The sequence below is a fragment of the Homo sapiens genome, chromosome 19 (assembly GCF_000001405.40).
Source record: "Homo sapiens chromosome 19, GRCh38.p14 Primary Assembly".
Taxonomy (NCBI): domain Eukaryota; kingdom Metazoa; phylum Chordata; class Mammalia; order Primates; family Hominidae; genus Homo; species Homo sapiens.
The window spans coordinates 48,869,711-48,880,945 of NC_000019.10; the positions used below are offsets into that span (position 1 = coordinate 48,869,711).

The 11,235-nt window shown below is 52.3% G+C and overlaps 1 protein-coding gene across 1 annotated transcript, besides 21 other annotated features; it reads left to right on the forward strand.

Moving 5' to 3' along the window:
- Nucleotides 1,656–2,268: an enhancer, noted in NCBI's record as "H3K27ac-H3K4me1 hESC enhancer chr19:49374623-49375235 (GRCh37/hg19 assembly coordinates)". NCBI's record gives its function as "activates a minimal SCP1, AML or CMV promoter by ChIP-STARR-seq in primed H9 embryonic stem cells {active_cell/tissue: H9 hESC(primed)}" and the evidence as "EXISTENCE:reporter gene assay evidence [ECO:0000049][PMID:30033119]".
- Nucleotides 2,269–2,880: an enhancer, noted in NCBI's record as "NANOG-H3K27ac-H3K4me1 hESC enhancer chr19:49375236-49375847 (GRCh37/hg19 assembly coordinates)". NCBI's record gives its function as "activates a minimal SCP1, AML or CMV promoter by ChIP-STARR-seq in primed H9 embryonic stem cells {active_cell/tissue: H9 hESC(primed)}" and the evidence as "EXISTENCE:reporter gene assay evidence [ECO:0000049][PMID:30033119]".
- Nucleotides 2,269–2,931: a biological region, named in NCBI's record as "NANOG-H3K27ac-H3K4me1 hESC enhancer GRCh37_chr19:49375236-49375847". NCBI's record gives its function as "regulatory_interactions: FTL | NUCB1".
- Nucleotides 2,358–2,931: a transcriptional cis regulatory region, noted in NCBI's record as "promoter|chr19:49375325-49375898 region (GRCh37/hg19 assembly coordinates) targeted for CRISPR interference". NCBI's record gives its function as "negatively regulates FTL and NUCB1 gene expression in K562 cells {active_cell/tissue: K562}" and the evidence as "EXISTENCE:mutant phenotype evidence [ECO:0000015][PMID:31784727]".
- Nucleotides 2,539–2,598: an enhancer, noted in NCBI's record as "active region_14909". NCBI's record gives its function as "activates an Ori minimal core promoter by ATAC-STARR-seq in GM12878 lymphoblastoid cells {active_cell/tissue: GM12878}" and the evidence as "EXISTENCE:reporter gene assay evidence [ECO:0000049][PMID:35858748]".
- Nucleotides 2,709–2,818: an enhancer, noted in NCBI's record as "active region_14910". NCBI's record gives its function as "activates an Ori minimal core promoter by ATAC-STARR-seq in GM12878 lymphoblastoid cells {active_cell/tissue: GM12878}" and the evidence as "EXISTENCE:reporter gene assay evidence [ECO:0000049][PMID:35858748]".
- On the forward strand, nucleotides 2,711–6,348 carry PPP1R15A (protein phosphatase 1 regulatory subunit 15A). Its single transcript, NM_014330.5, has 3 exons — nucleotides 2,711–2,941; nucleotides 3,515–5,188; nucleotides 5,904–6,348. The coding sequence occupies exons 2-3, from the start codon at nucleotides 3,524–3,526 to the stop codon at nucleotides 6,261–6,263; spliced, it is 2,025 nt and encodes a 674-aa protein (NP_055145.3). The 5' UTR covers nucleotides 2,711–2,941; nucleotides 3,515–3,523; the 3' UTR covers nucleotides 6,264–6,348.
- Nucleotides 3,118–3,618: a transcriptional cis regulatory region, noted in NCBI's record as "promoter|chr19:49376085-49376585 region (GRCh37/hg19 assembly coordinates) targeted for CRISPR interference". NCBI's record gives its function as "negatively regulates BAX, FTL and NUCB1 gene expression in K562 cells {active_cell/tissue: K562}" and the evidence as "EXISTENCE:mutant phenotype evidence [ECO:0000015][PMID:31784727]".
- Nucleotides 3,118–4,717: a biological region, named in NCBI's record as "CRISPRi-FlowFISH-validated BAX, FTL and NUCB1 regulatory elements". NCBI's record gives its function as "regulatory_interactions: BAX | FTL | NUCB1".
- Nucleotides 3,479–3,568: an enhancer, noted in NCBI's record as "active region_14911". NCBI's record gives its function as "activates an Ori minimal core promoter by ATAC-STARR-seq in GM12878 lymphoblastoid cells {active_cell/tissue: GM12878}" and the evidence as "EXISTENCE:reporter gene assay evidence [ECO:0000049][PMID:35858748]".
- Nucleotides 3,494–4,104: an enhancer, noted in NCBI's record as "H3K27ac-H3K4me1 hESC enhancer chr19:49376461-49377071 (GRCh37/hg19 assembly coordinates)". NCBI's record gives its function as "activates a minimal SCP1, AML or CMV promoter by ChIP-STARR-seq in naive H9 embryonic stem cells {active_cell/tissue: H9 hESC(naive)}" and the evidence as "EXISTENCE:reporter gene assay evidence [ECO:0000049][PMID:30033119]".
- Nucleotides 3,778–4,278: a transcriptional cis regulatory region, noted in NCBI's record as "genic|chr19:49376745-49377245 region (GRCh37/hg19 assembly coordinates) targeted for CRISPR interference". NCBI's record gives its function as "negatively regulates BAX, FTL and NUCB1 gene expression in K562 cells {active_cell/tissue: K562}" and the evidence as "EXISTENCE:mutant phenotype evidence [ECO:0000015][PMID:31784727]".
- Nucleotides 3,949–3,998: an enhancer, noted in NCBI's record as "active region_14912". NCBI's record gives its function as "activates an Ori minimal core promoter by ATAC-STARR-seq in GM12878 lymphoblastoid cells {active_cell/tissue: GM12878}" and the evidence as "EXISTENCE:reporter gene assay evidence [ECO:0000049][PMID:35858748]".
- Nucleotides 4,105–4,717: an enhancer, noted in NCBI's record as "H3K27ac-H3K4me1 hESC enhancer chr19:49377072-49377684 (GRCh37/hg19 assembly coordinates)". NCBI's record gives its function as "activates a minimal SCP1, AML or CMV promoter by ChIP-STARR-seq in naive H9 embryonic stem cells {active_cell/tissue: H9 hESC(naive)}" and the evidence as "EXISTENCE:reporter gene assay evidence [ECO:0000049][PMID:30033119]".
- Nucleotides 4,658–5,178: a transcriptional cis regulatory region, noted in NCBI's record as "genic|chr19:49377625-49378145 region (GRCh37/hg19 assembly coordinates) targeted for CRISPR interference". NCBI's record gives its function as "negatively regulates FTL and NUCB1 gene expression in K562 cells {active_cell/tissue: K562}" and the evidence as "EXISTENCE:mutant phenotype evidence [ECO:0000015][PMID:31784727]".
- Nucleotides 5,207–5,256: an enhancer, noted in NCBI's record as "active region_14913". NCBI's record gives its function as "activates an Ori minimal core promoter by ATAC-STARR-seq in GM12878 lymphoblastoid cells {active_cell/tissue: GM12878}" and the evidence as "EXISTENCE:reporter gene assay evidence [ECO:0000049][PMID:35858748]".
- Nucleotides 5,467–5,926: an enhancer, noted in NCBI's record as "active region_14914". NCBI's record gives its function as "activates an Ori minimal core promoter by ATAC-STARR-seq in GM12878 lymphoblastoid cells {active_cell/tissue: GM12878}" and the evidence as "EXISTENCE:reporter gene assay evidence [ECO:0000049][PMID:35858748]".
- Nucleotides 6,707–7,016: an enhancer, noted in NCBI's record as "active region_14915". NCBI's record gives its function as "activates an Ori minimal core promoter by ATAC-STARR-seq in GM12878 lymphoblastoid cells {active_cell/tissue: GM12878}" and the evidence as "EXISTENCE:reporter gene assay evidence [ECO:0000049][PMID:35858748]".
- Nucleotides 7,027–7,276: an enhancer, noted in NCBI's record as "active region_14916". NCBI's record gives its function as "activates an Ori minimal core promoter by ATAC-STARR-seq in GM12878 lymphoblastoid cells {active_cell/tissue: GM12878}" and the evidence as "EXISTENCE:reporter gene assay evidence [ECO:0000049][PMID:35858748]".
- Nucleotides 8,258–9,218: a transcriptional cis regulatory region, noted in NCBI's record as "intergenic|chr19:49381225-49382185 region (GRCh37/hg19 assembly coordinates) targeted for CRISPR interference". NCBI's record gives its function as "positively regulates FTL and NUCB1 gene expression in K562 cells {active_cell/tissue: K562}" and the evidence as "EXISTENCE:mutant phenotype evidence [ECO:0000015][PMID:31784727]".
- Nucleotides 8,775–9,387: a transcriptional cis regulatory region, noted in NCBI's record as "candidate enhancer chr19.5328 targeted for multiplex CRISPR interference". NCBI's record gives its function as "positively regulates FTL gene expression in K562 cells {active_cell/tissue: K562}" and the evidence as "EXISTENCE:mutant phenotype evidence [ECO:0000015][PMID:30612741]".
- Nucleotides 9,828–10,540: an enhancer, noted in NCBI's record as "OCT4-NANOG-H3K4me1 hESC enhancer chr19:49382795-49383507 (GRCh37/hg19 assembly coordinates)". NCBI's record gives its function as "activates a minimal SCP1, AML or CMV promoter by ChIP-STARR-seq in naive H9 embryonic stem cells {active_cell/tissue: H9 hESC(naive)}" and the evidence as "EXISTENCE:reporter gene assay evidence [ECO:0000049][PMID:30033119]".

Genomic DNA, 11,235 nt, shown 5'->3' on the forward strand with positions numbered 1-11,235 from the left:
CAGGCTGGAGTGCAGTGGCGTGATCTCGGCTCACTGCAACCTCCGCCTCCCGGGTTCAAGCGATTCTCCTGACTCAGCCTCCTGAGTAGCTGGAACTACAGGCACATGCCACTGCACCCGGCCTAAATTAATTATTATTATTATTTTTTTGAGACGGAGTCTCGCTCTGTCGCCCAGGCTGGAGTACAGTGGCACGATCTCAGCTCACTGCAAGCTCTGCCTCCCAGGTTCACGCCATTCTCCTGCCTCAGCCTCCCGAGTAGCTGGGACTACAGGTGCCCACCACCACGCCCGGCTAATTTATTTTGTATTTTTAGTGGAGGCGGGGTTTCACCGTGTTAGCCAGGATGGTCTTGATCTCCTGACCTCATGATCCACCTGCCTCAGCGTCCCAAAGTGCTAGGATTACAGGCGTGAGCCACCGCGCTCAGCCTAATTACTTTTTTTTGAAAAGCATTGAGCCCAGCAAAGTGCCTGATCTCATAGTGCTTACATCCTCATTCTCATTTGCAAGGAATCTGGACCCTGCTGTGACTATCTTGGTCAAGTGGCTTCATTTCCAAGCCTGTTTCCCCATCTGTGAAATGGGAACAATGACACCCTCGCACTCGGGGAGGAAACCAACCACATGTGAAAATAGGAGACTCTAGCCAGGCGTGGTGGCAAGCTCCTGTACTCCCAACTACTCAGGAGGCTGAGGCAGGAGAATTGCTTGAACCCGGGAGGCGGAGGTTGCAGTGAGCCAAGATCATGCCATTGCACTCCAGCCTGGGTGACAGAGTGAGACACCGTCTCAAAAAAAAAAAAAAAAAAAGAAAGAAAAAGAAAAAAGAAAGAAAAGAAAAAAAAAAGAAAATGGGAGACTCTAGGCTGGGGCCTGTGGGCTAAATTGGGGTAGGAGGCCAGGCACAGTGGATCACAACTGTAATTCCAGCACTTTGGGAAGCCAAGGCGGGCAGATCACCTGAGGTCAGGAGTTCAAGACCAGCCTGGTCGGCCGGGTGCGGTGGCTCACACCTGTAATCCCAGCACTTTGGGAGGCCGAGGCGGGTGGATCACAAGGTCAGGAGATCGAGACCATCCTGGTTAACACGGTGAAAAACCCCGTCTCTACTAAGAATACAAAAAAAATTAGCCGGGCGTGGTGGTGGGCACCTGTAGTCCCAGCTACTAGGGAGGCTGAGGCAGGAGAATGGCGAGAACCAGGGAGGAGGAGCTTGCAGTGAGCCAAGATCGTGCCACTGCACTCCAGCCTGGGCGACAGAGCAAGACTCCGTCTCAAAAAAAAAAAAAAAAAAAAAGACCTGCCTGGTCAACATGGCGAAACACTGTCTCTACTAAAAATACAAAAATTACCCAGGCATTGTGGCACATGCCTGTAATCCCAGCTACTCCAGAGGCTCAGGCAGGAGAATCGCTGGAACCCAGGAGGTGGAGGTTGCAGTGAACCGAGATGGCGCCACTGAACTCCAGCCTGGGCGACAGAGTGAGACGCCTACTCAAAAAATAAATAGGCTGGGTGCAGTAGCTCACGCCTATAATCCTAACACTTTGGGAAGCCGAGGCAGGCAGACTGCCTGAGCTCAGGAGTTCGAGAACAGCCTGGGCAACATGGCGAAACACTGTCTCTACTAAAAATACAAAAAATTAGCTGAGTGTGGTAGTGCGTGCCTGTAATCCCAGCTACTCGGAGGCTGAAGAGGGAGAATCGCTTGAACCCGGAAGATGGAGGTTGCAGTGAGCCGAGATCACGCCATTGCACTCCAGCCTCGGTGACAGAGCGAGACTCCATCTCAAAAAAAAATAAAAAAATAAAAAATAACAAATAAATAAATAGGCCTGGAGTGGTGGCTCACGCCTGCAATCCCAGCACTTTGGGAGGCCAAGGCAGGCAGAACACCTGAGGTCAGGAGTTCGAGACCAGCCTAGCAAACATGGTGAAATCCCGTCTCAGAAAAATAAATAATGAATAAATAAATAAATAAATAGGCCGGGCGCGGTGACTCACGCCTGTAATCCCAGCACTTTGGGAGGCCAAGGCGGGAGGATCCCCTGACGTCGGGAGTTCCAGACCAGCCTGACCAACATGGAGAAACTACGTCTCTACTAAACAAATACAAAATTAGCCGGGCGTGGCGGCACATGCCTGCAATCCCAGCACTTTGGGAGGCCAAGGCGGGAGGATCCCCTGACGTCGGGAGTTCCAGACCAGCCTGACCAACATGGAGAAACTACGTCTCTACTAAACAAATACAAAATTAGCCGGGCGTGGCGGCACATGCCTGCAATCCCAGATACTCGGGATGCTGAGGCAGGAGAATCGCTTGAACCCCGAAGGCGGAGGTTGCGGTGAGCCGAGATCGCCCCTTTGCATTCCAGCCTGAGCAACAAGAGCAAAACTCCGCCTCAAAATAACTAACTAAATAAATAAATAAATTGGGGTGGGAAGGCATTGACCCTGAGCTGAGAGAGAACTGGCTCGCTGTTGAAGCAGGGCCACGCATTTGATTGACAGTTCGTTTGTTGGAGGGGCGTGGTCACGCTCGGAAACTCCGCCGTGACGTTGCAAAAGCTGGAATCTCCGCGAGAAGTCCTGTCTTACTTCCACTTCCCACCCTTCGGGTTGCGGTCTCGAAACCCCGCCTCTCTTCGTGACGTCAGCACGCCGGGCGCGGTAGGCTATAAAAGCCTAGTGGCCATTGTGTTCGTTGCTCTTATCGGTTCCCATCCCAGTTGTTGATCTTATGCAAGACGCTGCACGACCCCGCGCCCGCTTGTCGCCACGGCACTTGAGGCAGCCGGAGATACTCTGAGTTACTCGGAGCCCGACGCCTGAGGGTGAGATGAACGCGCTGGCCTCCCTAACCGTCCGGACCTGTGATCGCTTCTGGCAGACCGAACCGGCGCTCCTGCCCCCGGGGTGACGCGCAGCTCCCAGCCGGTGAGTAAGGGGTCGGAACGCCTGGGTCCCCACGGGGCTGGGGGCCCGGATTTAGAAAGGAGAAGGGGTTGGGAGCCTGGAGTCCTGAGCCTGAGGGAGGAGGGATCTGGAAGCCAGATTCTTGGGTCCCCCGTGAAGGAATCATCTGCCAAGTAGGGGGTCGGGTCAGAATGTTTCAGTCTGCGAGGGAGGAGGGTGTGAGGGTTTGATTTGTCAATCTTCAGCAGAATGAGAGAGCTAGGGACTATGACTTTGTCGCCAAGGGAAGCAAGTAAAGACTTTTGTTCTTGGTTCTTGGGACTGGGAGTTCTGCGTCTGAAGAAAGAGAGGGCTGGGGGCTTGGACCCTTGGATCTAAGGCAGAACTAGGGGCTCAGACTCCTGGCTATTGAGAGATAAGAACAGAGCCAAGGGACAGAGATGGGCGTGGCCGAGATCAGAAAGGAATTTGGGACTCTCGCGTTGCTATTTACAATAGTTGTGTTACTATTTCCGTTGCTATGACTCATAGTCACGCCCGGATGCCATCCTCTAAATGGCCCCTAAACTTTATTTTTTTCTCCCCCTTTTCCAGCCCAGACACATGGCCCCAGGCCAAGCACCCCATCAGGCTACCCCGTGGAGGGATGCCCACCCTTTCTTCCTCCTGTCCCCAGTGATGGGCCTCCTCAGCCGCGCCTGGAGCCGCCTGAGGGGCCTGGGACCTCTAGAGCCCTGGCTGGTGGAAGCAGTAAAAGGAGCAGCTCTGGTAGAAGCTGGCCTGGAGGGAGAAGCTAGGACTCCTCTGGCAATCCCCCATACCCCTTGGGGCAGACGCCCTGAAGAGGAGGCTGAAGACAGTGGAGGCCCTGGAGAGGACAGAGAAACACTGGGGCTGAAAACCAGCAGTTCCCTTCCTGAAGCCTGGGGACTTTTGGATGATGATGATGGCATGTATGGTGAGCGAGAGGCAACCAGTGTCCCTAGAGGGCAGGGAAGTCAATTTGCAGATGGCCAGCGTGCTCCCCTGTCTCCCAGCCTTCTGATAAGGACACTGCAAGGTTCTGATAAGAACCCAGGGGAGGAGAAAGCCGAGGAAGAGGGAGTTGCTGAAGAGGAGGGAGTTAACAAGTTCTCTTATCCACCATCACACCGGGAGTGTTGTCCAGCCGTGGAGGAGGAGGACGATGAAGAAGCTGTAAAGAAAGAAGCTCACAGAACCTCTACTTCTGCCTTGTCTCCAGGATCCAAGCCCAGCACTTGGGTGTCTTGCCCAGGGGAGGAAGAGAATCAAGCCACGGAGGATAAAAGAACAGAAAGAAGTAAAGGAGCCAGGAAGACCTCCGTGTCCCCCCGATCTTCAGGCTCCGACCCCAGGTCCTGGGAGTATCGTTCAGGAGAGGCGTCCGAGGAGAAGGAGGAAAAGGCACACAAAGAAACTGGGAAAGGAGAAGCTGCCCCAGGGCCGCAATCCTCAGCCCCAGCCCAGAGGCCCCAGCTCAAGTCCTGGTGGTGCCAACCCAGTGATGAAGAGGAGGGTGAGGTCAAGGCTTTGGGGGCAGCTGAGAAGGATGGAGAAGCTGAGTGTCCTCCCTGCATCCCCCCACCAAGTGCCTTCCTGAAGGCCTGGGTGTATTGGCCAGGAGAGGACACAGAGGAAGAGGAAGATGAGGAAGAAGATGAGGACAGTGACTCTGGATCAGATGAGGAAGAGGGAGAAGCTGAGGCTTCCTCTTCCACTCCTGCTACAGGTGTCTTCTTGAAGTCCTGGGTCTATCAGCCAGGAGAGGACACAGAGGAGGAGGAAGATGAGGACAGTGATACAGGATCAGCCGAGGATGAAAGAGAAGCTGAGACTTCTGCTTCCACACCCCCTGCAAGTGCTTTCTTGAAGGCCTGGGTGTATCGGCCAGGAGAGGACACGGAGGAGGAGGAAGATGAGGATGTGGATAGTGAGGATAAGGAAGATGATTCAGAAGCAGCCTTGGGAGAAGCTGAGTCAGACCCACATCCCTCCCACCCGGACCAGAGGGCCCACTTCAGGGGCTGGGGATATCGACCTGGAAAAGAGACAGAGGAAGAGGAAGCTGCTGAGGACTGGGGAGAAGCTGAGCCCTGCCCCTTCCGAGTGGCCATCTATGTACCTGGAGAGAAGCCACCGCCTCCCTGGGCTCCTCCTAGGCTGCCCCTCCGACTGCAAAGGCGGCTCAAGCGCCCAGAAACCCCTACTCATGATCCGGACCCTGAGACTCCCCTAAAGGCCAGAAAGGTAGGTGCTGAGAGCCCAGATTCTATTTTTTTTTTTTTTTTAATTGAGTTGGAGTCTTGGGCTGTCACCCAGGCTGGAGTGCAGCGGCATGATCTTGGCTCACTGCCAACCTCTGCCGCCCAAGTTCAGGCGATTCTCGTGCCTCAGCCTCCAGAGTATCTGGGATTACAGGCGCATGACACCACACCCAGCTAATTTTTTTTGTATTTTTAGTAGAGACGGGGGTTTTGCCATGTTGGCCAGGCTGGTCTCAAACTCCTGACATCACGTGATCCACCCATCTCAGCCTCCCAAAGTGCTGGGATTACAGGCGTGAGCTACCACATCTGGCTGAGAGCCCAGATTCTTGAGTCTTAGAAAGAAAGGGGGCTGGGGGCCGAGACTTCTGGGTCCCTGTATGTTGCAGAGGGTTGCATGTCATCTCCATGGAGAAGGCTGTGTACGCTGTCACGCAATCCCTTGTAAGAGGCCAGGCCCCTGGGGGAGGAGGGAGCAGCTGTGGCTCACAGCAGCCCCAGGAAACCACCTCTTCCTTCAGTGAGTCAGATAGATAGAGAATCCCGTGACAGTGACAGGCAAGTGACTAGCCAGATAGAAAGCATTTTTGTGTAATAACTAATTTTTGTTTGCTTCTCTCTCTCTCTTCCCCGCCCTCCCCATCCGGATTCCCGTGGCTGTGTGCATCTCCTGCCTGTGTCCCCATGTCTGCCCGCAGGTGCGCTTCTCCGAGAAGGTCACTGTCCATTTCCTGGCTGTCTGGGCAGGGCCGGCCCAGGCCGCCCGCCAGGGCCCCTGGGAGCAGCTTGCTCGGGATCGCAGCCGCTTCGCACGCCGCATCACCCAGGCCCAGGAGGAGCTGAGCCCCTGCCTCACCCCTGCTGCCCGGGCCAGAGCCTGGGCACGCCTCAGGAACCCACCTTTAGCCCCCATCCCTGCCCTCACCCAGACCTTGCCTTCCTCCTCTGTCCCTTCGTCCCCAGTCCAGACCACGCCCTTGAGCCAAGCTGTGGCCACACCTTCCCGCTCGTCTGCTGCTGCAGCGGCTGCCCTGGACCTCAGTGGGAGGCGTGGCTGAGACCAACTGGTTTGCCTATAATTTATTAACTATTTATTTTTTCTAAGTGTGGGTTTATATAAGGAATAAAGCCTTTTGATTTGTAGCGAGCAGCGTCTGTATGTGTCAGAAACTGACAGCATTCTACTTACAGGTCCCTGAGGGAGCTGGGAAGAGAATAGCATAAAACAAAGCACTTCAATGGCGGATAAACCGCTTTTCCTCAAATTTGCTACCACTCATCCTGAGGCTTCTTTTGAACCTAACAGTGCAGGGACCAGCCCCACAGGGTCGGTGGGCTTCTCCCTGTGTGCGGCGACGAGAGAGTGTAGAAATAAAGATACAAGACAAAGAGATAAAAGAAAAGACAGCTGGGCCCGGGGGATTACTACCACCAATGCGCGGAGACCAGTAGTGGCCCCGAATGTCTGGCTGCGCTGATATTTACTGGATACAAAGCAAAAGGGGCAGGGTAAGGAGTGTGAGTCATCTCCAATGATTGATAAGGTCACACGAGTCACGTTTCCACCGGACAGGGGGCCCCTCCCTGTTTGGCAGCCCAGGTGGAGAGAGAGAGGAGACAGCTTATGCCATTATTTCTGCATTTCAGAGACTTTTAGTACTTTTACTGATTTTGCTACTGCTATCTAGAGGGCAGAGCCAGGTGCACAGAGTGGAACAGGAAAGTGAAACAGGAGCGTGACCGCTGAAGCACAGCATCACAGGGAGCCGGTTAGGCCTCCGGATAACTGTGGGCCAGCTTGACTAATGTCAGGCCCTCCACAAGAGGTAGAGGAGCAGAGTCTTCTCTAAACTCCCGCAGGGAAAGGGAGACTCCCTTTCCTGGTCCGCTAAGTAGCGGGTGTTTTTCCTTGACACTGAGGCTACCGCTAGACCATGGTCCACTTGGCAACGGGCGTCTTCCCAGATGCTGGCGTTACCGCTAGACCAAGGAGCCCTTCTGCTGGCCCTGTCCGGGCATAACAGAAGCCTCGCACTCTTGTCTTGTGGTCACTTCTCACTATGTCTCCTCAGCTCCTATCTCTGTATGGCCTGGTTTTTCCTAGGTTATGATTATAGAGCGAGGATTATTATAATATTGGGATAAAGAGTAATTGCTACAAACTAATGATTAATGATATTCATATATAATCATATCTAAGATCTATATCTGGTATAATTATTCTTGTTTTATATTTTATTATACTGGAACAGCTCATGTCCTCGGTCTCTTGCCTCGGCACCTGGGTGTCTTGCCGCCCACATAACAGCTGGTGGGTTTTATAGTTTTTTTTGTTGCTTTTTTTGAGACTGAGTCTCGCTCTGTTGCCCAGGCTGAAGTGCAGTGGTGCAATCTCAGCTCACCACAACCTCTGCCTCCCAGGTTCAAGTGATTCTCCTGCTTCAGCCTCCCGAGTAGCTGGGACTAGAGGTGTGCGCCACCACGCCTGGCTAATTTTTGTATTTTTAGTAGAGACAGGGTTTCACTATGTTGGCCAGGCTGGTCTCAAACTCCTGACCTTGTGATCCACCTGCCTTGGCCTCCCAAAATGCTGAGATAACAGGCGTGAGCCAATGCACCCGGCCTATGTATTTTTGTTTGTTTGTTTGAGATGGAGTCTCGCTGTGTCACCCAGGCTGGAATGCGGTGGCACGATCTCTGCTTACTGCAACCTCCGCCTCCTGGGTTCAAGCGATTCTCCTGTCTTAGTCTCCTGAGTAGCTGGGATTACAGGCACACTCCACCATGCCTGGCTAATTTTTGTATTTTTAGTAGAGACGGGGTTTCACTACGTTGATCAGGCTGGTCTCGAACTCCTGACCTCATGATCCACCCGCCTTGGCCTCCCAAAGTGCTGGGATTACAGGCGTGAGCCACCGCACCCAGACCCGGCCTGTAGTTTTTCTTTGACATCTGCCTAAATTGTATTAAACTTGGGACAATTATCACCACCCCCCCAAGGGAGCTGGAGAATTGAGTCACGGATCCCTAAAAGGAGGCAGAATTGTCTGTGCCTTGCTGGACCATTAAGGCTCAATCTCTACAGGCCTTTACATTCTCCTCCGTTGCTTTGATACCAGTGGGTATCGAGGTCCCCAAGCCCGGGTGGGACCTCCCCCTCAGCCAGTGTTCAGGCTCTTGACACAGTCATGAAAATGAATTCAAGGACGAGTTGGAAAAGAGTGAAAATACAGGATTTATTGCAAAGGGGAAAGTCCACACTCATGAAAGGGGACTCGAGAGAATCACGTGCAAGGGGGGTTGAGGCTGCTACCGTTATGGGTTTTTTGTTTGTTTGTTTGTTTTTTAAAGATGGAGTCTTGTTCTGTCCAGCCCAGGCTGGAGTGTAGTGACACGATCTCAGCTCACTGCAACCTCCACCTCCTGGGTTCAAACAATTCTCCTACCTTAGCTTCCCAAGCAGCTGGGACTGCAGGCGCCACCACACCTGGCTAATTTTTTGTATTTTTAGTAGAGACAGGGTTTCTCCATGTTGGCCAGGCTGGTCTCAAAGTCCTGACCTCAAGTGATCCACCTGCCTCAGCCTCTCAAAGTGCTGGGATTACAGACGTGAGCCACCACGCTGGCCCTTTTTGGATTTTTTTAACCAAGGGGTAAAATACTCATGAGCATTCCTGGAAAAAGATGGAGATTTCTCAGAACTGTGGTGCCACCCATCTTTACACCAAATATGGGTGTTCCTGGGACCGTCATGATGCTGGTGGGTGTGTGACTGTGTTGATGAACATATAATGAGGTCCTACGTGAAACCGAGGTCAGACCCAGTGCCATATTGGGTCTAGTCGGACTTAGCCTACTTGGCCCACGCCCTGGTTTTTCAGGATCTTATCAGCCCATAGCTTCTGTAGCTATTTCAAGTTTCCTGTTGCTGGTCTGGTCTTGTGAAACTGCTGCCTGGAATTTTCTAATCTCCTGCAACCACCCTGTATGATTGCTGTTGCAGCCTGATTTTACATTTATAAGCCCTGTGTCCATAGGCCTAGTTTCCTTATCTGTAAGCTGACTAACAATTGTACATATCTTATGGGATTGTAAGGCCCCAAAGGAGTTAAAACAATGCTCATGAAATAAATGCTATAATACGGTAATTATTCTATATACCGTTATTCTTTTTTTTTTTTTTTTTTTTTTCCTGATACGGAGTCTCACTCTGCTGCCCAGGCTGGGGTGCAGTGGTGGGCTCTCGGCTCACTGCAACCTCCACTTCCCAGGTTAAAACAATTCTCCTGGATCAGCCTCCCAAGAAGCTGGGACTACAGGTGTGCGCCACCACTTCCAGCTAATTTTTTTTTTTTTTATGGAGTTTCACTCTTGTTACACAGGCTGGAGTGCAATGGCACGATCTCAGCACACCAGCAACCTCCGCCTCCTGGGTTCAAGCGATTCTCCTGCCTCAGCCTCCTGAGCAGTTGGGATTACAGGCGTGAGCCATCACGCCCAGCTAAGTTTTGTATTTTTAGTAGAGAAGGAGTTTCACCATGTTGGTGGTCAGGAGTTTGAGACTCCTGACCTCATGATCCGCCCACCTCAGTCTCCCAAAATGCTGGGATTATGGGCATGAGCCACTATGCCCACCTCTACCTCTAATTTTTAATTTTTTTTTTTTTTTTTGAGACCGAGTCTCTCTGTGTCACCCAGGCTGGAGTGCAGTGGCGTGATCTCGGCTCACTACAACCCCCTGGGTTCAAGCAATTCTCCTGCCTCGGCCTCCCTAGTACCTGGGATTATATGCGTGCGCTACCACGCAGGGCTAATTTTTGTATTAATCTACCTCTAGACCTTCACAGAATGCAGGCTCCTCTCATCCTCCTAACCTAATGGCCTTTCATTAGCTTTACAAAAGCAGCTTAGTTAAACTAGAAATCCTAGCACTTTGGGTGGCCGAGGTAGATGGATCACTTGAGGTCAGGTTTTTGTTTGTTTGTTTGTTTTGTTTGTTTATTTTGAGGCAGAGTCTTGCTCTGTCGCCCAGGCTGGAGTGCAATGGCAGGATCTTGGCTCCCTGCAACCTCCGCCTCCCGAGTTCAAGTGATTCTCCTGCCTCAGTCTCCTGAATAGTTGGGATTATAGGGGCCCGCCACCACACAGGGCTAATTTTTGTATTTTTAGTAGAGACGGGGTTTCACCTTGTTGGTCAGGCTGATCTCTAACTCGAGGTCAGGAGTTTGAGACCCCCACTCCTGCCATATAATCCTTTCATTTCCCCAAGGCAACCAAGCCTAATTCCACCTAATTAAAAACCTTTGTATGAGTGCTACCTGCTGCCTGAGGATCCCAACCCTGAGGCCTCTTGCTCAGCTAGTTGCTCCTGATTCTTCAGATGTAGTGTGAAAATTCCTTTTTTTGGTGGGGGGATAGAGTCGCATTCTGTTGCCCAGGCTGGAGTGCAGTGGCACGATCGGGTCACTGCAACCTCCGCTTCCCAGATTCAAGCAATTCTCGTGCCTCGGCCACCGGAGTAGCTGGGATTACAGGCATGCGCCACCATGCCCAGCTAATTTTTGTATTTTTAGTAGAGACGGGGTTTGCCATATCGGCGAGGCTGGTCTCGAACTCCTGACCTCAAGTGATCCTTCCGCCTCGACCTCCTAAAGTGTTGGGATTCCAGGTGTGAGCCACCGCGCCCGGCATTTTTTTTTTTTTTTTTTTTTTGAGACAGAGTCTAGCTGGAGTGAAGTGGAGCTATCTCAGCTCACTGCAGCCTCCGCCTCCCAGATTCAAGTGTTTCTTCTGCCTCAGTCTCCTGAATAGCTGGGATTACAGGTGCCTGCCACCACGCCCAGCTAATTTTTGTACTTTTAGTAGAGACGGGGTTTCACATGTTGGCCAGGCTGGTCTCGATCTCCTGACTTCAGGTGATGCACCAGCTTCAGCCTGCCAAAGTGTTGGGATTACAGGCGTGAGCCACCTTGCCCGGTCAGTGTTGGTTATTAAGGTGGTGCAAAAGAAGGCATGTCGGGGCCCTTCCTC